The sequence below is a fragment of the Homo sapiens genome, chromosome 5 (genome assembly GCF_000001405.40).
Source record: "Homo sapiens chromosome 5, GRCh38.p14 Primary Assembly".
NCBI lineage: Eukaryota > Metazoa > Chordata > Mammalia > Primates > Hominidae > Homo > Homo sapiens.
The window spans coordinates 14,254,133-14,278,744 of NC_000005.10; the positions used below are offsets into that span (position 1 = coordinate 14,254,133).

Sequence of the window (24,612 nt, forward strand, 5' to 3'; positions counted from 1 at the left end):
ATAAATAGAACCCACGTAATGCAGAAGCTCCTTGGAGTCCTCAATAGTTCTCCCCCCCTCCCCCCGCCTGAGACGGAGTCTTGCTTTGTCACCCAGGCTGGAGTGCGATGGCATGATATCGGCTCACTGCAGCCTCCGCCTCCCAGGTTCAAGCAATTCCCCTGCCTCAACCTCCCAAGTAGCTGGGATTACAGGCGCCCGGCTAATTTTTGTATTTTTAGTAGAGACGGGGTTTCACCATGTTGGCCAGGTTGGTCTCAAACTCCAGGATCCTCAGTAGTTTTTAAGAGGTATAAAGGAGTCTTGGGCTTCAAACCCTCAGAAACTGCTTGCTGCATGGAGGACCATGATCGCCTTGTCTGGTTAGTGCATTCCAGCAATGTGCCATGTGAGGCGCCTGGAAAGGAAGGATACAGGAAGTGGGGAGCCCTGTGGATGGCCAGGCCATCTTTCTACCGTTGGTCTTGGCTCTGTTCTCCCGCGAGAAAGGCAGGAAGGTTTTTGGTCTCCACCCTCCTCCTCCTGTTTCTTCTCCAACCACACCAGTAGCATAAGTGGGTTATTGTATATGAAATAGGCTTTGGTGGGCTCCTCTCGGACCCTCATAGCAACCTGTAGCATTATTTCTACGGGAAAATATATTTTTTAAATTGAGAAACAGCAGTCTTCTTAACAAAGTTTTGGAACCCAGACCACTTGGAGGTTGGAGACTGAGTTTATGGGCAGGTCTCCCCAGCAGTTCCTTTTTGGCACTTACTTGTAGGGAATCTTAAATGGGAGGAACTATTAGAGGAATTCAGTTGAGACATAAATAGAAAGGGAAACAATGGGGTATCCTGTTCTTTTAGTCTCACACTTTTAAAGCAAAATATGAAAATCTAGTTTATTGTTTTATTGGTTCAGAGAGTTTAGAATCCAAAATTGATTTCAGATTAATCTCTTGTCCACTAATATGCCTGTTTCTGTATTCTTCAACTCATTTGGTAAAAGGTAGCAGCAAATGGTTGCATCCTTAAATACATAGACTGGTCTGACGGACAATACAAGCTTTAAAGAGGATGTGGAATACAACCCTTTGGGAAAACAGTTTGATATTAATTCATAAACTTGGGAAAGTGCGTAAACGGTAAGCCAGCCATTTAACCCTGACATATCTCTAGGCGTAGAGATCCACTGGCCTTGGGTTCTCGGGTAGTGGATGGGGCTGTTCATGGCAGCATTATTTGTAATAGCAAAAATGAGAGACAAAACAAATGTTCACTTACAAGATTGCCAAAATAAGTTCAAGTTGTAGTCATCAAATGGAACACTATGCAACAGTGAAATTGTATTAAATAAAACTCAGCACGCACATCAATGTAGATGAGTCATGCAAACTGGAGGCAAGTCACGGGAGAACGCAAGTACAGTTCCAGCGTCCCTCCTCTGAAATGCTGGGCACCAGAAGTGTTTTGGATTTCAGATATTTTTGGATTTTGGAATATTTGCATATACAAAATGAGACATCTCGAGGATGAGACTCAAGACCAAACACAGAATTCATTTGTGTTTTGTATATACCTTATACACATAACCTGAAGGTAATTTTATACAATATTTTAAATAATTTTGTACATAAAGTTTTGATGTGCTTTGATTGAGACCTGTCACATTAGGTCAGGTGTGGAATTTTCCACTTGTGGTAGAGTCATGTTGGTGTTCAAAGACTTTAGGAATTTGGAGCATTTCTGATTTTCTGATTAGAGGTGTTCAGCCTGTAGCATGATTGCATTTATATAAAGCTCAAAAATAAGCAACACAGCAATATATTGTATACTAATAGGTTAGGTTTGTAAATGGCAAAACTGTAAAGAAAAATAAGGACTGAATGACATACTAGTCTGTTCTTTTGTTGCTATAAAGAAATATTGGAGACTGTGTAATTTATAAGGAAAAGAGGTTTATTTTGGCTCATTGTTCTGCAGGCTGTGTAGGAAGCACTGTGCCAGGATCTGCTTTTGGTGAGGGCCTCAGGAAGCTTCCACTTGTGGCTGAAGGTGAAGGGGGAACTAGTGTCTCACATGGTGAAAGAGAAGAGAGAGAAGTGGGAGGTGCTACTCTCTTTGAAACAACCAGGTTTCACATGAACCAAGTGAGAACTCACAAAGACAGCACCAAGACATTCATGAGGGATCCACCCCCATGACTCAAACACCTCCCACCACGCCCCACCTCCAGCATGGGAGGTCACATTTCAACACGAGATTTGGAGGGAACAAAACATCCAAACTATATCAAATGGTTATGCAGAAAGTCCGCATAGTGGTTACGTCTAGAGCCAGGGAGGTGTGTGCAATCAGGGAGGGGCATGGGGAAGGCTTCTAGGGGAGTGTCAGTGTTCTGGTTCTTAAACCGGATAGTGGTTTCAAACATATGTAATAAATATACACACCTTCTTACAGGTCACATCAATTCTCTTCCAAGTCTGGGGACTATTTTGCTGAGACTTTCATTTTAGTAGCTGAAAGAATTAGAAGGATTGATTAAAAAGCCTTTTTGTTTTACCATAAAGTGAGTAATTGAATATTTAAAACCACCAGGCCCCTTAGAAGTTATTTACTATAATGGCAACTGCCCGTCCTCCTCCTGTTTGGAGGTTTTGAAGGTGTTACAGTGTTTTGGTCGCAGAGTTGACTGATGATATCGTACTGTGAGCTTTCACAAAACCATCTGGCCTGGCTTTTGCAAGAATAAAGAAGGAAAACTTAGTGTGGCTTTTCATTACTTTAAACAAATGAGTTCAGCCTTTAGCATAGTGGGCCAAGGGTGTGGCACCAAGGGCAGTGTGTGTACAAAGGCTGGCATCTTTGTCTGTGTGTCCAGTCACTGTTCCCTGTGGTGTTTGCCTCTGTGCCAAAGTAGAGTGGGAAGATCCTGTTTATTTTTGATTATCTGTTAAAATGAGAGATGTTTGCCTATTGAAAAGGGAGCCCAAAGGTGGAAGCCGAAGATGGGAGGAGAATGAGGTCTGTCTGTGCCTCTGGCGACCTCCTGCTGTCCAGTCGCGGCTTTCCGCCCTCTTGCCCTCTGGACACCAGACAGGCTCCTGCAGGCACCTCCACCAGATCCAGGGGCCACTAGCAAGGGTGAGGCCGCAGCTGCAAAGCGTTGTGATAGCATTCACTCTCACCTGTCCCACCTCCATCCTTTAAGGGAGACACGGAATTCTTAGCACAAGTAACAAGATGCAGAAAGATAGACAGGTTAATCGAAGCTTTTGTTGTCACCATTTGGGAGAGAGGTAGTTAGTAGTCTCTTCCAGGAAAAAAAAAAAATTTTGCTCACGTGGTTTTTTTGGCTCATGTGTTTCCATTTCTGGTTGTATTCTGGCTGGCCCTTTTCACAGCCAGGAGCAAGGCTGAGCAGGACCCTGAGAGTGCTCAGGTGCTTGTGGGGTGGGGAAGGGGGACAGACGGGGCGTGGGAAAGATCTTCCCGAGTGGCTTGACTTTCCCATTGCCTTATAGTTCCTTAAATTATTTATAGTCCACCTGGGAGAAGTTATGGAGAAATTATTTATAGTCAGGTTAATTTACTATGATTGTGTGGATTTTTAAAAATATGTCTATTTGTTAGTGGCTTTTTAACAATAATTACATGTCTCAGTCTGTTCTTTTAGTTTTAAGTAAAGATGTCTGTCTTAACAGAATACAATAATTTTAGGTAAATGGGCAAAAATTCCCAAAATTCAGTTATTTAAAGCACTTACCAAACTTGTACAGCTAAGTTTCAGATATTAATACTTTAATACTGTTACAACTGCTACTGTTAGCATTTGTTAGTGAGTTCTGTGAGCTGTGATTCTCAGGCTGTCCATTTCACAGACGAGGAAGCGAAGCTTTGGAGAGACTAGGTAACTGCCCACAGTCACCCCCCCTGGGAGGTGGCAAGCCCAGGCTCCTAACTAGACACCTAAGTAACTGTTGACACAAAATTTCGTTTTGAGTTGTGGCACCATTGTGGTTTGCAGCCGATGTACTTAACACTTGTAATGCTAGTGAAGTGCAGCTTTGCCTGTCCCCACAGCGAGCGTGCTCCTGAATCCTCTCCACACCTCATCCCCATGTGTGTAGCTCCCTTTTAAGGTGGCTGCTTGTAACCCTGTGTCATTTCCTCTGCTGGATCCCAGCTCCTGGGGCAGCAGGCACCCTGAGGTCTCCCTGCAGGGTACTGGAATGATGCTGTAGGTGCAGAGAGTTGGCCGGTGAGGGAGTGCCACACACCTTATTTAAATGTCCTTACTGCACTGCCGTTTTTATTACTATACTAAGTTTAATTTGGAAAACGATGTTCCCTGTGCTTTTTAGTAGATAAGATACTGAGATGTCCTGTCAGGAGTGTAGCAATTAGGAGACTGGAAAAAGGAAAACAGATTCCCCAGCCTACAAGACGTTCAGCTTTGCAGAGTCTTTTAGGATCTTACCCCACTCAGATTGGGCACTGCAGGGCAGGTGTCTAAAGATATGAAACTGCGGAAGAGCTTCGTCTGCCTCTCACCTTCTACCTCCCCAGTATTTATTGAGGGCCGCCCAGTAGCAAGCAGGAGGAGGCCCTGTGGCCCCAGTACCAGCCCAGTTGCCTCTAGCCATCCCAGCCTCCTGCTCCACAGCAGTGGCCCAGGGGGATAATGAGTGAGATGGTCACACAGTTGGAGCTGCTTCTGTGGGAACTTTTTGTGATCACTGGATTAGCTGTGCCGTGTCATTTCAAGACAGTGGAAGCAGATGAGGGCTGCAGTCCTGCTGGGTGGTGGGCTGCAGGGCACTGATGCGCAGTCCTCTGAGCCTGTGCTGCCTTCGAGTTCCTAAGTACCAACCTCCCCTGAGGTAATCCAAGGGAGGAGACGCCACCAGGCCACAAGTGAGCTGGTCGTTTCCTCAAGCTCACTTGCGTCTCCAAGCAGTGATTTCCTTCTGAGGCTTCCCTCTGCCGGGTCCTGGAGGGTCCTCACGCCTCCAGCGGTCACTTTCGGTTTTAGTGTGTGTGTTTGCATCGTTCTGTTGATCAGTGAATGTGTTTGAATATGTATACAGATGCCAAGAGAGAGGTGAGTCCATCACAGCAAATCTGTTTCTGTGTCAAAATTTGTTTTCCCATCAGTATATTTAAATTATTTGGCTTAATAAACACATTTTTAACCAGAATGAAAAAAAACCAAAAACCCACCACTCACCTTTTGTCTGTATGCAGAAGGTAATTTGAGGGGAAAGGGGTAGGAGGAGAAGAATTGAAATGAATTTCTCTTTTCTCTTTGTTTTCTGCGTTAGCAGATGCATTACTTTTCTCAACCCTCTTTGTAATTTCTTAAATTTCTCATTAGCAATTCAGTAGGAGGGTAAATAATAGGGGCCTATCTACCAGAATTCTTTTTCTGCTTGAGAAAAGAGGGTGTAGGGCAGGACAGCAGCACCTGAGTCAATATGAGCAAAAGCCAGTGGTTGCCAGCATCAGTATAATCCTGAGACAGTTGGACAGGTATGGCCTCTGGGTTAACATACTTGTTGAGCAGTCAAATCTTTTTACAACAAATAGAAGGATCTGGAAGAAAACTTCCAAATTAACTGTAGATTGCATGCTGAATTCAGCCTAAAAACAAGTTACAAAGTGCCAGGTTTTTTGTTTTTTTTTTGAGTTGTCATAATAGTAACAGGATTGCTCTTACGGGGGTTCTTAGACTGCTACAAGGCTGTCTGGCCTCTGCAGGTCAATAAACATCTAAAGAGCAGGACTTGGCTGGCCTCTGATCGGATGAATCCTCAGAGCATCAGATGTATTGCAAATTACATTCAGAGAAGAAGGAACAAAGCTGTCAAAGCAAAGTAGATTAACTGAAGTAACTTAGGCAAGGCAGTTTATATGTGAGCTATAATATGGGTTTCTAATATTAGAACATCACAGTATTAATCTTTGAACATGTTACTTACGTTATTATTCACTAATGGGCTTTGTGTTTCTAATCTCCACAGCAAGCGTTTCCAACCCTTTCAGAATGGTCTGGAACACCTTTTTTATGTTAAGGACTTATTTTTAGTGTCAGCGATAGATACAGCATTTCAATGAAAAGTAACACTTTTAAATGGATTTGTCTAATTAATAATAACAGTATCTATATCTCTTTACACATAACAGTGTGTTTTGGAAGACATATTTGTCAGCTCTTACTGTTTACACAGTTAAGGCTACGGTTAGTGTAATGTGTGTTTTATTTTGTTTTAGAGTATAAGCTTCTTAAAATCAGGAACATGCCATTTAGGGGAAAAATCTCTGGGGTTTAAGAGAGTACCATGCATAAATATGTATTTTATGAATGCCAAGCGATTAAACACAATTCTAAGCTTTATCAAGGGACTGACTGGCAGAAAGTTTTGCCAAATTCTTTGATGTTATTAAAGATTTATTTTTGTACTGAGTTTCATGTTAGAATCAAATCCATGCTTACTGAAGTGGAAATAACTTTTCAAACCTTCAGTTAAAAATTCTGATGTTTGTTTGTGGCATTTACTTTATATTCTATATTAATAGGAGTAAATGAATTAATGGGATTTTTGCAGTGGGCATGGACCTAAAGTATCTTAACGTTGTGGAGTACATTAGGGAAACTTTGGTATTTTAAATGTGTAATTTAGTAACTCTGAATACTGTATTTTAAATTCAACATAATTACAGGTCACTCAGATTAATTGATAGCTTGTTCAGACACTCAGCTTTGGTGTATGTTTTCCCCAGGGCTGGAAAATGAATCAACACAGAATACTGGAGTAGAGGGGATTGGTAGGCATTTGTTGGTGAGCAAGGCCCCTGGATGAGGATTGCGGCTTCAGTGACTAGTACCTGCACCTACCCCCTCCTTAAACCCTTTTTTGTTTATCTGTGGAGGAAACATTCATTCAGAATCAGAACCTTTGAGTTTTAGGGCCGGCAGGAGGTAAGGCTGGGGTAGAGGCTACTCATGTGGAGATAAGCTAGAATAAGCCAAATTTTAAACCCAAATCGTGGTTCAGTGCTGGGAATTCAGTTCCTTTTTCTTCTGGAAATGTATAGACTGTCTGGAACGCTTTGGCTTGGCCTACCTGTTGTATAGTGTTTGTTGTGTACCCTTCGTACTCACAGTGAGTCCCAGGCAGGATTTCGTGGGTAAAGTAGTACAGATGTTCTGAGGAGTTACAGTTTGTGCTGGGAGGCCTCACAGAGGCTTAACTTGTGTTCAGTTAATGTGGCAGCAAATGGAGTCACGTGAGCCCTCAGTAGGCTGCCTCCAGCCAGCCTTATGAGGCTGAGGGACCTGAGACAGCAGTGTGGGCTAACATTCAGAAGAACAAAGGCGGATGCTCAGCTTTGAGGTGTGTAGAGTTGACTTGGCTTGCTGCTTCCATCATGCTTGGTCTGTTTACAAAATCTCATAATGAAAACATTTCAGTGTCACGTTAAATTCTTGGGGGAAAAGCCCACTGACTGCAGAGAAGCAGAGCTGTGAGGCTCTGTGTTTCCTGCTTAGACACCACTTCCCTGAAGGCTTGCGTTTCCTTTGGTTGTGGAGGTGCTGGAACGACAAGCCTCCCAGTTCACTTCTTCCAAAGCAGAGTCTCCTCTTTCCATCAGAGAAGATTGGTTTGTTTCTTTGGTTTGGGCAGATAACTTCTAAATTACGTTGTAAAAACTTAAGGTAAAAACCCTTTTCTCCTTTAAAATATAGATTGATTATATGTAAATGTGATTTTATGTACTAATCAGTCACCAAATATACTAGACAGAGAATGAATGGAGTCACTTTAGCTTTTCAAAGGAGTTTTTATAGCCAGTTGCATGCGTTGGAGCTGTCGCTATTGCTCTGTGCCTAGATGGATACTCTGCCCAGAACTGCGAATTGTAGAGTACCACGTGTTTGCTATCTTGAGGTTTAACTAGCTGGGTGTTAAGTTCATGCTCTGCGCCATGGCAGTCTGCTCAGTGAGACTGCCATGCAGTGGGACTCAGCATAGCCCCTTTCCTTTAGGAGCCCAGCTGCTAATAGGAACACCGAGAAGTCTTTTGATATTTCCCCTGCAGTGCGATAAGGATTTGGGGTGTTGTGGGAGTGCATCTTGGCGGTGTCTAGTTGAGCAGTGGGGACTCCAGACTGGGGGCAGGTGAAGAAGAGGTGTGTGTTGGGGGCGGGGAGGGGAAGGCATGTGTATGGAGGTACAGTGGTGAGGGGGAGGTGTGGCTTCCCTGCAGGTAATTGCAGTTCCTGGAGTGAGCCTGGGGAGATGGTAATGATGAACCAATGAGGTTGTGGAGGCAGCATACATCAGATCATGAGGGACTGTAGTTGCGGGCACCAAGAAACCATTGAAGAATTTTAGGGGAGTAAAATGATGAGATATTTGTTTGAGAAACATGCTAGGGAGAGTGGCAGAATGCATTCGAGGGAATTAAGAACATCTATTAGGAGATCGCTGGAATAGCACATGAGGGCAATGCTGGCAGAGACAGGGGTGCTTCATGGGACTGTGGAGTCCCTACAACTCCTTGTTTCATGGAGGTAGGGGATGGGAGAGAGGATGGAGGGCAGGGAGAAGCCTGGTTCCTGGTTTGGCCACGAGGTCGATGGTTTATGAGGCAGGTACTGTTCTGGGACCTACACTGTGGGGAGCAGGTTTGTGGGCATGAGCATGAGGCAGGGTTGGATGTTCAGGGGGGCATGGCTATCCTATAGGCATGTGGGTGCCTCTTCTTCATGGCACTTCTTTGTTCCAGTGATGGACAGTTTCCTACCTATCAGTCAAAACCCACTATAATAGCCCACCCCACCCCTGCTTTCTTCTCTTCCATGAATGTTTTGTGTTTTTGTTTGTCTACATCTATTGATGCTGCTTGCTCTGGCTGGAGTGCTCTCTGTTTTCCAGTGTGCCCGGTTTTGGACTACTTCTTCCACACTTCGCACAGATCTTTTATTTGATAGGACATCTTCTCCTATTCTCATCGCTCTGGCCCTGATTTTTCCATACCAAATATCTGTACCACAGAACTGACAACTCATATGTGTTGCTTTCTTTCCCAAACAGGCTAAGGTCAACAAAGGCTCTAGATTACACTTTGTATATGAGCACCCCCAACTCCATGCAGAGCTAGTCCATGTGCACTGAGAGAGGTTTTCAGATAATTAGTTTATATCACTTCTCTGTGGTTGAGAGCCCCTCTGGCCCCAGTTCCTTATGTAGTAATCAAAAAGACAATAGAGGAAAAGGAGTAGAATTATAGCTTTATTTTCTGAAGCCTTTTACAGAATATGATTTTCTTTTGCATTAAAACACATGGGATAATTGAGTTTTTTCTTTTTCTTTGTCTGAAGAAGAGTAAGAGTGTTAAAATTCGTGAGCAGATTGATACAATGATTGAATAGGGTTTCTTTTAGCACTCAACCTTCTTGATCTGATGTGTATCAAACCACTTGATATGATGATCAAATTGTAGTAGTTTTGTCCCTCTGGTTCATTTGATACACACTAAATTTCTAAATGACTTTCCTGAGACACTCCGGTAAAGCAAGTCTTTGGGGCAGGACAGCATCACAGAACCCTATATGTGCATGTATGTGTGTGTGTATGGGTAAGGGGATGTATATATGTAGATAAGGGTGGGGTAACTCCAGTTCCAGAATACAGCCTCAGAGGCATCCCTGACAGGCTTTACAGGGACATGCACAGACAGGTAGACGAATGTGTTCTTTATTCTGGCATTAGGCAAACAGGATCAGTTTTCTCTGTGCATAGCTCTGTGCTTGTCCCTGGGGATCCAAACATGAACGGCACACCTGGGCACATGGTTTCTTTTTTGACTTATGAGACTGTAAGAAATAGAGTCCCTTTATAATACTACTACTTCTTGACTATCAAAATATTCCCTTCCATTGGTCTGTGATGCTTTTAAATTAACTTCCATTGCACAATTAATACATAATTAAAACATCAAACCTTAAGAGTTCTACAGATTGCTTCATTTACATTAAAAATATATATATTTGTTTAAACTTTTTTTTGTTGTGGTCTTTTTGATTATTTTGGTTTTCTTTTGTATTTTATATTAAAAAATAGAACTATTTTAAGTTGAAATTTCTTTAACTCCCTTGAATTAATAAAAAATAAACTACTTTCTTTCTTTGAGGTATGCTGTTATAGGCTGTTGCTTCTAAAATTATGTGAAGGGGTAAATTAGCCAGTCCAACAGTTATAACCATAAAGGTTATAGGTAAAAATTGTAATGCTGTATTATGAAACCCGTCCATATTCTTGTGTGGTCTTGTCTGTGAACATGTCCATAAGTCTTAATTCATTTTATATGCATTTTATAAGTGTGGATTTTGATATATTTATGTTAAAAAAATAATATAAGCATTGTATTATGTTTTGATTTTTTTTTTTTACATATTAGAAAAAGTGAGGGTTATAACCTTGTGTCTTCCCCCCACCCTTTAACATGTTCATTAGGGGATCTAGGCTTGTTAAAATGCCTCCTTCCTATGCATCACTTCTAGATGCGTGCACAGCTAAAACCCTTGATAGCACAAACATCGGGCAGCCACGTGCGGCCGCTCCCTGTGCTGAGAGTATAATCCTGCGGGCTCCGCAGAGAAGTGGCCGGCCCGGAGAGGGTGACGTCACCTCCCTCTGCGCGTGCGCTTGCGGAGCGAGGGCGGTGCCTGCCAAACTGATGCAGATTTATCACTCTTCTCTTTGTGTGCAGGCGTGCGCGCGCGAAGTTTCCCCCAAAGTAACTAATGAGTAAAATTCGGTAATTACCACTAAGACCCAGTACTTATAGGAAGCTCCAGTTTACTATTTAACCTTCTTTTTCTGGTTGTTTAAAAATACTGGCTGATTTATTAACATTTTTGTTACTGCTGCAACCTGTGTTTTGTTAAGTATGTAGGATTCTTTTTTTTTTTTTTTTCCCAATCTCTTCCCGCAGATTATTTTCCCATTTAGTAAACACTAACTCGGAATAGCTGACAGGCAAATGAAACCCCTGAGAATGGGTGAGGAGCACAGCTTGTCTTGTGGGCTTGGCTGCTTTTAAAGGAGGAGACGCAGCCAGTTTAGAATCGCATCAGTTCATTTTGTTCAACAGCTCAAATGGTCAAGGAATAACTGTGTTTCTTCTAACAGTTTTTACTGGAAAACTCATTTGACTAGTTTAATTTGAAGATTAGGTAAAATTTCAGATTACTAGTATCTGCCAGTGTCCTGGGAGAAATACAGGATTAAAAAAATAATAAAACCTATGTTTTACTTAAAAAATTTTAAAATTTGATTCATTTGATTCATCTTTCTGCCAGTTATGTAAAAATACCATTTTTAACATAATATGCTATATAAAAGCTTTTGCTCATTGTGAAAATATTTCTAGGGTGCTTTTTATTATAAATAAATCGGAGAGGGGCTTGTTGTTCCTGGACTATTTGTTATTGTTGTCTTAAATTTAATGCCACAGAAGTGACCAAGTGAGCGAGCATTCTGGTCATCAGTGACTAGCTTAGAAAGGTATTTGTCTCAGTGCAGCATCTCTTTGCAGGGTTTCAGGATGACAGATGAGTAATTGATTTGGTCAGTGGGGTATTAGATAGTTGAAGTTCCAGACTGTTGATTCAGTGGAAAGATATTTCACTGTTGAATGATAACTTGCAGAATATTCCTTGTTAGGGCAGAGAGATTAATTTTCCATCTTATGAATATAAATCATACTATGATTGAAGGCTAAACTACCTAACATTTCACAAAACAAAAATAGAAAGTACTAAGGAATTTTGGGGTTCTTGGGTAGGGGTTCAGGGTCAAGATGCTGTGGAAATATATTTATTTGTTGGTTGAGTTCATTGATTGATTGATTCATTCATTCATCCATCCATCTTTCTTTTCCTTTTCTTTTTTTTTGGAGACAGAGTCTCGCTCTGCCGTCCAGGTAAGCAGTGGCATGATCTCGGCTCACTGCACCCTTCGCCTCCTGGGTCCAAGTGATTCTTCTTTCTCAGCCTCCCGAGTAGCTGGGACTACAGGTGTGCACCACTGCTCCTGGCTAATATTTTTTCGTATTTTAGTAGAGATGGGGTTTCACCATTCTGCCCAGGCTGGCCTCAAACTCCTGAGTTCAGGCAATCTGCCTGCCTCGGCCTCCCCCTTCATCCATCTTTCTACCCAGCCAACCCACATCTGATGAATGCCCTTTGCCTGGCCCTATCTTAGGTATCTAGGATACAGCAGGGAGCAAAACAGACATGTCCTCTGGCAAATTGGCTGATCTAGAGAAAAAGAGGCAACTATTCATTTGATGAACAGTATAATGTTTATTATTAAGGAATAGAAGTGATTTGGGGGTGCAGATTTAACATTTATGCTCACACTGACATGCTGTCGAACCAAACAGTAATTTAAAAGGTGGTAACAGAATTAATTTTGGCAAGTAGTATGCTGAAACTTGTAGTTATTTTAAAATGAGTATGTTAAAATCTCTAAACATTCCAATTTGTTTTAGGGAAAGGCAGTTTTTTGTGTGTTGGCTTGAAACCAGAAAGAAAATCATCAAGCACCACCTATATATATTTATATTTAGTTAACAACTATAAAATCTGATTTTTTAACCTAAGCCTGTTTTCCTCAGTAGCATTCAACAAATATTAGTGTAAACATTCTGAACATAGTCATTGTAGACTTGGTTCAGAAGCATATTTGTTGCCTGCCTTTAAGGACTCCCCTGGGAAACATCTTCTGCACCTAGAGATAAGCCTCGACTGACTCCATTCTTGCTGTTTCACTGTTTCCTGAAGCTAGCTTTTCATTAGAGTCCATAATGGTTGCTGTATTTCAGATAGTAGCAAAATATGCCTCAAACTGTGACGGAATCCAGTCTGTCTTTTCTGCGCAGTTAATATGGGCTCTATATAACTTAAAAATTATATAATTCAAAAAGTGGGTACAACTAAATGTCCCCCAATTTGGGCCATTTACCCTCTGGTTATCTCCTCTCAAGTTGCTCTTCTTTGTCTAGGCTTTCTGTTAATCCTAATTTTACCAAATTTCTCTTTGTGGCACCCCCTTCCACCTATTTAAGTAGCATTGACAAACCCCCCTGGTGGCACTGAGAAGTAGAAATGTTGCTGACGCCTGGTCTTTGGTACAAAGATAAGGTCTGGGATCCTATCAGGGCCTCTGTGCGGTGGTATTTGCTGTTCCTGAACCTCTCTGTGATGGTGAGAAGTATGTGCTTCCAGGGGGCGGCCACCGAGGGCAGCCTGTATTTGCTGCTGTTCAGTAAGTTTGAGAACCACAGTTAGATCCTTTAATGCATGAATGAAGAAAGTATTAGGAGTTGAGTCTTATCTGCTGTGTAATCTAGAATCTGTGGAATAGCAGAGAAGCCACTTATTTTTAATTTTTTAGAACGTTTTTATAGTTCCACACTGTTTTCCTAAATAGCTCTTCAGGGCATGGAACACAGCCTGCCTTTTTGATCTGAGGAACTTTCATGGTTGGGTTCTTCCTGCTTTTTATTGAAAGTTACATATGATATATTTAATCTGGTTTTAGTATTTATACATGCTTCCTGAGTTCTTTGCTTATTGGTTTTTTTTTTAAATGGAAATGAGATCTAAAATAATACCTAAGTGACCAGTCACCACAATAATGACAAACTCAAGTTTCTTTGTGTGGTTAGTTTTATATTTTTGCCCTTTTTATATTTTCTGTTTTTGAAGTATTAATTGATGGTTTAAATAAAAGTAACTCTTTTTCAGTGACAATCTACAAAAATATAGTTAAACTGGTTAGAATTTATATTCTGGTCTATGCGTGGGCATGTACCTACATCGCAATAAAAGTGAAGCACCTTTTCACATAAGTTTCTCATTAATTCATGTACTTTTCTTCCTCTAGAAAGACTGAGTCTTCCTTAATTTGGGGGGAAACTGAGGGACCAATAGGTTAACATAACTACAGCTCTGAGAAATGAAAGGTCACATGAGAGGGAGTCCATGACTCATAGTGGGACATAGGAAATTGAGACATTTATTGAGTTCTGTTTTCTGCACCCTACTTTCAAATCAATATGCTATTCCTCCTGTGAGATGGCCTGGAATATGACAGCCCTCACTTCCATCTTCCACTCCATTGTGGGTATCAGTAAATAGGTGTGATTCAGAAAGTTAGCAGTAATTGTCAAAAATGCTTTGGAATGATGACTCAGGTCACACAGCTCTCTATTGGGATATCAGCATTGGGATCAGGACATTCTTCTTGGTGATGGCTGTGTGACTCACAAGTGGGGCTCTGTCTCTCTAGTGTCGGAGCCAGGGCTGCAGTTGGTGGTGACATTTCTCTGTCTGAGGGCTTTGCTGTGTCCTGGCCATGACGTGTGGGTGTGGACGTGGGAATGGTAGGAAGCATGCGTTTTCTCATCTGAGCAACAGAAGGGGGAATCCTCCCTTCAAACAGATAGGGATCTACAGCTGTCGCTTACTCCTTCCTAGTATTTGTCTATCATGTGATCTGTCCCCTCCTCATTTGCCTGGGTCCCATAGCACTTCGTGCTGCCTATGAACATTTCATAATCTGCCTTGTTTTATAGGTGTTTGTCAGCTTGTCTCTTTGAGGGTCGCTGGGGAGCCTTAGTCCTCTTTGCCTTGCAGTTGCCCCAGTGCCATCTGTGTCCACGGCAGCCACGGCAGATGAAGTCAGTCTTTGTAGACACATTCAGTGAGTTACGGTGACTGGCAGTGAATTGCTGACTAGATTGCATCCATTCAAGAGTTTTGAAGGAACCTGAGGATGAAATTGCAGAACTCTTGGCTCAGATGTTTTGCCTTTTATAAATAGCCACTGTTTTCAAAGCTTGGTGGGTTGCCAGCACAAAGCATGGTGCATTGGAAAGGAAAATGGCCTGGTGCTGTGGAGGCCCCAGCTCGGTCAAATCTACCCATAACTGGCTGAATAGTTCCACGCAGCCTTCCTAGGACCTCATGGTCCTCAGCCGGATGTGTTTGCTGTGAAGTCTGTGGTAATTGTCAGTGTCATAGTTAAATCTCATTAAACTGGGTTCATTATACACGTGGACGTATTCTATGGACAGGAGCGATTTACATTAAGAAATCAGATCACACCGCTGATTTATTCATTCTTTGTTTCTATGAATGATAATGTTGTAGAGACTGAATTCTGCTATATTCCTCCCGAAGATGTTGATTTTGTTGCTGCTTGTTTGCCTGCTTTAGCAGGCATGTAATTTGGCCTGACCCACACTACACATTCTCTGTGTTTGCAGTGGGCAGCAACTCAAATTTTGATGTAGATCTTTAATCCTTAGCAGGGCTGCTTGGAATTCACCTGGTTTTTGTTTTGAAAGCTCCACATTGCTTAGATGGGGCCCTGCCCTCAGGCTAACAGCCCTAATGATGGGTTGTGTACCCAGGGTCATTTCCTTTTCCAGGTGTCTCTCCCAGCTTTTGTCATTCTCTAGTGCCTGGAGAGAGTCGTTTTTTATAAATGTTCCCTGTAGCAGGGCTTGCCCGGGAGTTGCTGCTCAGGACACCAAAAGTGAAATGTTCACTCCTTGACTTCAGTACTTTCCTTGCCTTCTAATTCCAAGTCTACATCTTGCTGTGGTTGTATTACCATGCTAGCATTTGCGATGCTTTTCTTGTACTATTTTGGCAAAAACAAACACAAATGGGGGTGGGGAAGTGGTGTTTTGTTTTTTCCTAGAGATTGTTCTGCTAACAGTGTTAGTTACTAGTTTTGGTAGGCATCCCTGAACCTAGATGACCTCTGTTAGAGATCGCCGAGAGAAATATCCAGTTATTATGATGAGTATGGACATTTTGGACCCCAAATTCCCACGTAGGCATTCACCCTGGTGAGCTGGGCTAGATATTTTTGGGCTGCAAGAATTCCTTTTGCTTAGATGGATTTTGGCCTAAATTGCCTATTGCATGCTCCTTTTCTACAATATTCCCACTGGGCCTTCTAAGATATTGGGAGCAGGGGCAGAGTTGGTTTTTAGTGAGAAGAGGGACCTTGGCCACCTCTGAAGCTGGAGTGGCACTGGGCCGTATGACCACATTAGCCATTGACATTCCTCCAGGGGGCATGACCCAGAAAGCCTGGAAGGAGAAAGCCAGGCCCCAGCTATTTATAATCCCCTCTCTCCGCCTTGCCACTGTGTATTTTTAACCAGACCCTGAAGTCTGATGGAATGAGGCATTGAGCTCCCCCTAGAGGTTTTAGGATGTCACAAGCAGCAATTTTTATAAAGCAGTGTTGCTGTTTTCTTTGTACCAGCAAAGATTTATGTACATTAATCTACATAAAAATTAAGATTTGGTAAATAATCTGGACTGATTTCATATCCTGTCTCCTTTTGGGACCAAGTTGTTATTGCTAGAAATGACTCAGAGCGAGCCTTTTGGGGACATGAGCCTCTGGGTCTGTGTGCAAATCATTAAACATTAAAATAGAAGACAGTTTTGTGATCACAGACATGGAATTTAAATGTTGTGCTATGATCATGTTTCTTAAGTTGATTTAATGGATGTGGATAAAGCTGCTGTGTTGGCATTGGATAGAATGGTTAAGGAATTAACTGTCACTCTGGCAACCCAGTAATTTTATTTTCTCCTTCTGTATTTCAGGGTTTCGAAAAAACGATGAAATGAAAGCTATGGATGTTTTACCAATTTTGAAGGAAAAAGTTGCATACCTTTCAGGTAAAGTTTAACTTTCAACTCTGCTCTATCCAACTGCTCTGACACAATTTCAGAGTCTGACGTAATAAATGAACTCACCTGCCACAACATATAAAAACATTGGCATTTCTATGAATTTTGAATGGCTTTATTCTTGTAGCACTGTTTCTGAGAAATTAGTGCCCAAAGCATTTTCTTCCAGTTAGGAGGCACATGATAAGTTAGTTAGTGTTGGTGATGAAAATACATTTGTTTCTGCCATTCAACAAAAATTCAGCTGTTCTGCCCCAATCAGTTAAGTAAAAAAACTGATTTTAAAAATCCGATCATTTCAACAAAGATGGTGGGAATGTGATGGTATGTAGATGGGTCCTGAATTTCTCACTTTTGTTTCTCGTACTCTGTACCTGCCTCTGTTGCCTTGTCTTTTGGGAGGCAAGGATGCCTGCTTCTCCTTGAGATCTGCTCCTTTGTGGCTCTCTGGTCATGGAGTAACTAGGACCCATGTCATGGACGATGAAGCCCTGGTGATTTTACCAGCTGAGTCTGTTTCCCTGTAGACCCAGTCTTTGAGGCCCTGGCCCGCCCGCAGACAGACTCTGGGCCAGTCCCTTGGGCTTGGGGGCACCTAACTGCCCTCTCTTCTGCACATAGTCAGCGTTAGGCCGTTTTGGACTGTCTTCTTGGGGCCTCCCTCCCACATAAACAGAACAGCCCTTGGGTATTATACCTTTTGGACCCCAGTTCACTTGTTACCAAACAAAGATTTGCAAGATTTTTCTGCTCTATCAGGAAGTACATCTGTAGATTGTCGTCACATGCTTTTAGATGAATTTCCCTTGAGAATTTTTATCTTTCTTAAATAGGCATTCTGTGCTGATCTGTGTATCCTCTTGAACACATATCATTTTTAATATATAACACTGCTAGCTGCTTTTATAAGTTTTTCTGTCCTTTGGACATGTGATACTGCTATATATTTAAGATGCAGCTTCCTATGGTGTTTTTGCTAATCTTGTTTTGCTTCATGTTCAGTAATATTTCTTGGCCCCTGTTAATATGGTTTGATTTTGTGGGAGTAAATCTAATTCATTATGTATTTGGAAGGTTCACAGAAGAGTGTAAGGAGTTCATGAAAAGAAGGTGCTTTAAATTGTTGGAAATACATGGTGAAAAACAAATACTGGCTTACAATACACTGAGTTTTAAAAGTAGCATTTATTTGCTCTTCTCTAATCATTTACTGACAAACTGCATTGTAAGGACTCATGCCAGCTTTGCGAACCCCTGATTTTGTAGTTTACAAACAGAGTAATTGAAAGACTCTACTTATAAAAATTAGAGGTATCTGTAAGGAAGGCTTAAAGCTGAGTTCATGTGTTTATCAGTTTTTTATTTTTAAAGTCTGGGTCTGTGATAACAGCACCTGCTCCCCCAACCCCTCTTGTGTTTCTGAACGTTTTGTTCCATTTTCTTCTTTCATTAGTACGTGGAGATGGACATGTGAAGAAAGGTGGAAGGTTAAGATTGGTGGGTTTTATTTGTATTCATGCTTTTATTAGGCAGTTAATACAGAATATATTATCGGCTGACATTTTTATATAGTTTACAGTCAACACTAAAACTGTTTACCTTTTAATCAAAGAAACAAAATCGGCAGTCTTTCAGAGTTTGTCTTAAATGTTTAATAAATACTTAAATTCTGCAGGGTTACATAAAGTTGGATATCTTTGGTGGGGTGGGAAGTTTTGCTTTACCACAGATTAGTAGGAACTGTTTAAGATATTAGCGATGGTAGAGCTTCCAGCAGTCTTAGCAAAATGACGTTAGTAGGTGTCACCTCACTTTTACAGTATTCCTAATTTATGACCAGAACTGGCAAAGCTGATTAGCATGAGCTCATTGCTCTTTGTTTTAGGCTTATCGTTATCTCCTTTAGGAGGGAAAAAAACCATAAAATTAAGTAGAAATTGACTACTTGTGTTGTATTACATTTTTTGAAAATTACAAAGAATGAGTAAACTTTACAAAATAAAATTTATCTCTAACTCATTTTTTTGTTTCTTTTTTATTGAAATCTAATTCACATACTCTAAAATCCACCTTTTTAAAACGTGTGATTCAGTGGATTTTAGTGTATCACCAGGTTGTGCAACTGTTACCACTAATTCCAGAACCTTTTCATCACCTCCCAGGAACCCCATATCCACCCCCAAGCCCCCAGCACTGGCAATCACTAATTTACTTTCTGCTCTGACCCCATTTTAAAAAATATTAGGGAATATTATGATACCTTTGTAAAAGCTGTCCATGTGAATGGCTTTTAATAGTTAAATCTAAATAAAATGGCAGGAGCTTTGTAAAAGTAGGCCAAAAGATGAGTGATTTTAAAAGATACTTATTAGGTCAAGATCTCTAAAAACCCAGTGATAAACCCCGTGATAATTTCTTGAACTTGAATATTTCCGATCCTTAGCGCCTAGGTCTTCTAAAAAGTAATGCTGATTGCACTTAAGTAAGATAGAATGTACTACTTCCTTCATTTAGGATGAACTCAGTGAGGTTAAATGTCTTACTGACTTTGTGTTTGAAGTCAGAGGACGGTGCTGTGGTTTGATGGATCACCTCCAAAATTCAGATGTTGCCAGTGTGATGCTATTAAGAGGTGGGACCTTTAAGAGGCAATTAGGCCATGAGGGCTCCTCCCTTGTGTGGGATTAAGGCCCTTATAAAGAGGCTTTACCCTTGCCCTTCAGCCATATGAGGACGCAGCATTCCTCTTCTGCCCATGGAGGATGCAGCCCTCACAAGACTACCAAACCTCGTAAAAATGCCCTGTAGTTTATATTTAATGGAGTTTGCGCCTAATGGCATCTTACATATAATGTCAACTATTAGTGTGGTTCCTATGCCACTAGGGTTTGAGCCTTAGAAAATCTCACACGACAACCACCAGAATTAAGAACGCATTCTTTTTTAACTGTTTATTATGGAACATTTTAACATCAAAAGGAAAGAAAATAGTATAGTGAATTTGTACGAATTCGTTGCCCACTTCAGCAACTTGTTTCATCTATATTTCCACTTAGTCTTCCGTTCACTCTGGATAATTTTGAAGTAAATTCCAGATATTATTTTATTTATAAATATTTAGTATTTATCTCTTAAATGTAAATGTTATAAAAAACCGCTGCAATACCAATGACAGACCTAAAAATTGAAGGTAATTATTTCATATCCCCCCAAAAAACCCGATAGGTATTCAAATTTTTATGCTTGTCTCATATGCATTGCTGCTGGTTGAGATGTCTGGTAAGGCTCTTTTAACCTGTAGGTTGTGTGTTACCTCCTGATGTTTTAGGAAGCGAGGAATCCAGGTGTCTTCCTGTGGATTTTCCTATAGTGTAGATTTTGCTGGTTGTATCACTGGGTGGTTTAACATGTTTCACTTCCCCCATATTTCTTGCAGACTAGGAGTTAGGTCTTGAGGCTTGATTAGACCAAGCTTTGATCTGGCAGGGAAGGTGGCAAAAATACTTAATGGGTGTGATTGTTTAGTTTCATAGGGAGTTTTATTAGGAGAGTCTTGTCTTATTTTTATGGTGTTCATTGATGATTATTGCTTAGATCTAGTATTTAAGAGTTGCAAGATGGTGATATTCTACTTATGTCCTTTCTTTTTCATTTATTAACTTGGATATCCCGTAAAGAGAGATGTCCCATCACCACTTACTTGATTGTCCTGAGAAAGAGTTCATACAGGAGAAGTAGGATAAGTGATTGGTTCCTGTCCGTAACCAGTTTTCAGGCTATTGAAAAAGGACCATTGTTTGTTTGTTTGTTTTTTCCCCCAATAAAGACTTATTTCAAATGCATGATTTTAAATATATATGATGTTTTGATTCATTACACATTTTCTCTCTTATGAAGTTAAAATTGTCCCATCTTTGGCCAATGGGAGCCTCTTCAAATTGGCTCCTAAGTTTTGTTTGCTGATGTGACAAGATGTTTCAGGACCATCTTGTATAATTCCTGCCTCAGGTCTGGAATCAGCCATTTCTCTAAAGAGCCCTGGTTCCTTTTAGTAGGAAACAATACAGGTTGCTAGGCATATCCACCGGGTGGGTTGTCGTTTTTGTGTCTCTTTAGTGGACAAATCTGGGGGAAAACACACACACGCATTTTAATGAGAAATGATATCGTGACTTTATATTAAAATTCATAGTTCAAATTTAGGATTATAGATATTTCATTTTACTTTTTCAATTATATATTTGTGGATATCTGTTTCATGAATCTAAAAATGTTAGTTCTTATGTGGACATAATTACTTACTTTGTAATGCTAATGGTATTAGCACAGTATATGACTACCAAATGTAATTTAGTATTTTTCTTCTTGTCTTGGTCCTGAGGATGTATGCTATTAGAAATCTACAGACCTACTACTGTATTTTAAAGTCACATGAAACAGTTCCTCTCCATGTGGATATGCTATCAGCTTGAAACCTGGAATCATTTGTTTCATTTTGCTTTACATTTGTAAGACTTAAAAACCCCAACTTGCTTCAATTTTAAGTAAAACTTAGCATAATTCCACAGTAATAACTAAAAAATAGTTAAAAGTTAAGGTATGGTTAAAAAAAATCTAGTTTTTGTGTTTGCTTTCTCCACCCTGTGCCTCCCCTATAGGAAAACTTTTTTTTTTAAGTTTTTGGTTTAATCCTTCTGCTTTTAAAATATGAGCAATTCTATTGATTTTCCCTTCTGTTTTCATCTTCTTCTCCCCGAGATAAACAAAAATGTAATAGGCCTCATTTTCTATCTTTGCTTGTTTTATTTCAAAGAATATTCTGGAGATCAGTATATAGCAGCACATAATAGAGTTCTCATTGCTTTTTACAGTTGTGTATTACTCTGTTTTGTGTAACAGAGTAATACACAAATATATATATACCAGAGTAAAACACAACTCTGTCTCTATGTGTGTATATATATATATATATGTTTATATATATGTGTTTATATATATGTCTATATGTATGTTTATATATATGTGTGTCTATATATATACATATATATACATATATATACATACATATATATATATACACACACACATATGTGTATATATATAGTTAATTCAGTCAGATGCCCATTGATGGACATTTGTTTTTTTTTTTTCTTTTAGAATAGCTTTTTGGGGTGCAGTGAACATTCACTCTTATCAAGTTGGGGATATTGACAGGAATGTGGGATTTGATGCCTTAAGGTTTGCTGGTACCTTAGTTCTTCATGGTCTAGTTTTGCAGAGTACTGCATTTCCCCGGAAGAGAAGGGGAACCTTCCATTCATCTTGAATATTCTTGTTAGCATCCTAGCATAGTGGGAGCTGGCAGGGACTGACTGAGAGTGCGGGAACTGGCGGGACTTTTCATGCAGGCTGCCGAGTCTTCTCAGCCTTCAGTAGAAATACTCCATGAGCCAATTCCTGGTTCTCAGGACCAGGCAGCAAGAGGTGAGCCTAGAAGGTGCAGGGCTGGCGAGGTGCTCGCCTTGGCTGCTGTTAGAGCAGGAGCCCCGTGGGCGTCCTTTTAACAGAGTTGTATTATTTTATGGCACACTTAATAGACGTTAGCCATCATTTCTCTTTTTCACAAACTGTGTCTTTCAGAGATTTCCTTGGCAAAGGCTGCTTTTTATTGTCAGTGTGAGTTAGACTGTTCCTTGGGAGTTGGGAGTGGGAGGTTGGACAGCGGCTGAAGAATCATTTCAATTGAAACAAGCGCTATGGAGAGAAAGATACAGTTGGTTCGTTGAAATTTACATTTTACTCCTCAAAGCAAGCGTGGCTTTCTTGCAAGTTCTTTCTAAATAAGTGAAAGGTGAGCTTCTAATTCATTTAAAGAGAAAGAGGTGATTGTGAATCTAGCTGTTTCTGTGGTCATCCTGGGCCACATTGCTCAAGAGACCAAGTCTCCTGGAGTTTTAAGAAGAGGGAAATGAGGTCTCAGGGTTTAAGGAAATAAGTGTCACACAGACATGTATAGCTATAGTGTAGGACCCTTTCAGCCTTCTTTCTATTATTAAAATAAACCTCAGTTCCCTTAGCATCCACAGGATATCCATCAGGCATTGCTGCTAACTGATACCTGATAGGAGGTATTTTTAGTTAATGTTGTGTGGAATATGGAAAAATAATCCATTCAGCAAATGCCAGTCTCACTGGGCATGGAGAGCATTGTGTATTCTTAAATCAGCGAATGAAACAAAGATGTTTGCCCTCATGGAGCTTATGTTCTAGTGGAGGAGACAGATAGACAAAAAGAATATGTAAATTGTACCATTTCCTAGAAGGTAAGAAGTGCCTTAGAGAAATAAGATTGGTTATAGGAGAGGATGCAGGTTTATGTGAACTGAAAGTAAAACACCATCATTATAAACAAAAACTGGTTTGTTTTTGTTTTTGTTTTTTGCTTTTTGACTAAGGCAGCATTTGGATAAGCAGATAATCAATGAGCTGTTGTTTGGTTACAGACATGAAAAGCTTCCATACATAGACATCCTGTGATGCTGGCAGCATTTCCTGTCTTTTTCATTTCATTGTAGAAACTAAGGCATTGATTTCCTATCTATAAAATGAGGCTGACATCTGTCCCGCCTGCCTCACCATGTGGCTTACGGTTGATAACACACACACATGAGTGTATCTAATAGGTGAAGTTTTTATGAACTGCAGTGCTGTTATTTTTACTAGTTTCGGAACAGGAACAGAACTTTGCATTTGTGACTTTTCTGCGTTATACTCAGATGCTATTTTCATTTGGGTACTTCCTGTGATGTTGGAAACCAACCTAAATCTTGGGGAATAGAATTAAACAGACACCTGTGTAGTTGATTTTAAGCTCCTTGAGGTTTAGCGACCATGTTCCTCTGAACTATACTTCATCCTTTCTAAGATTTTTTCTTCATACCTCCCTGAGGAGGAGTCAGCAGAAAGTGATCATTAACTGCGTTATGCCATCTATTGGAAGGTGCACCCTTAGCAGGGAGATTAGCATGTGAAAAGATTCTTACTTCACAAATGATTTTTGATAAAATTGTAAAAATATCCCAGTGAATTTTCTGAAGTTCTTTTCTAGGAAAAGGAAAAGTGAAAATTTTTCCTCTATCTTAAAATTCAGATTCAGGTGTCTATAAGCTTTTCTTAGGACATGACTCAGCGCCTAAGCAGATGAACTTGGTAGCAAGTCTTAGGATACTGCTCACTAGTGCTACCAGCCTGGGAGAAATCTTTGTAGTTGAAAGTTGGAAAAGTGTAGTAGGGGCTGTCAAAACTTCTGCACAGAGCTGCCTTTGGTTCTCAGGTCTGGGGTGATCAGAATGGCCGTGCGCATTGTGCAAACTACTGACTTCCATGCAACTTTCTTAGATTGGCAGATTTTGGATTCTGCTTCTCACACCCGTGGTGGAGCATGCCTTGCTTGACTTGTGAGCTACGGTGACCCAGGAGGGAGGAGAGTGTCATGTGGGTCCCTATGGAATCAAACATCATGCTGCATTTCAAACACATTTTAAAAATTCAGAACTGTGGTCGAGAAAAAATGTTAGATGCTGGCTTTCTCTTTACCCAAAGTGAGGGGAATGTTTTAATTTAAATAATAGGTACTGTATTTTTAATAATTCAAGTTTCTGTAATATGTGTTGATCTATGATAATTTCAGTCAAGGAGATTGACTCTTTTGAAAAGCATGAAAGCTATTGGGAAACGAAAAATATTGAAATTGTTAATCTGTCTTATCTTGGGGATGAGAGGTATTCCAAAAAATTAGAGCCATTGATGTTACCCTAAAAATCATATCAGATG

At 40.5% G+C, this 24,612-nt stretch overlaps 1 protein-coding gene across 10 annotated transcripts in view, besides 2 other annotated features; it reads left to right on the top strand.

Moving 5' to 3' along the window:
• The window catches only part of TRIO (trio Rho guanine nucleotide exchange factor), a 366,863-nt gene that overhangs the window by 110,791 nt on the left and 231,460 nt on the right, over positions 1–24,612 (top strand). For all 10 annotated transcript variants that reach the window (NR_134469.2, XM_047417679.1, NM_007118.4 and 7 more), the window contains one exon: positions 16,693–16,767. Coding sequence is in view for 9 of the 10 variants with exons in the window: in XM_047417679.1 (XP_047273635.1) it covers positions 16,693–16,767 (75 nt within the window). In the remaining variant the exon portion in view is untranslated. The remainder of the gene's footprint in view (positions 1–16,692; positions 16,768–24,612) is intronic.
• Positions 24–194: a silencer, noted in NCBI's record as "fragment chr5:14254265-14254435 (GRCh37/hg19 assembly coordinates)". NCBI's record gives its function as "represses an EF-1alpha promoter that drives an FKBP-Casp9 reporter gene in an ReSE screen in HepG2 liver carcinoma cells {active_cell/tissue: HepG2}" and the evidence as "EXISTENCE:reporter gene assay evidence [ECO:0000049][PMID:32094911]".
• Positions 4,914–5,103: an enhancer, noted in NCBI's record as "active region_22399". NCBI's record gives its function as "activates an Ori minimal core promoter by ATAC-STARR-seq in GM12878 lymphoblastoid cells {active_cell/tissue: GM12878}" and the evidence as "EXISTENCE:reporter gene assay evidence [ECO:0000049][PMID:35858748]".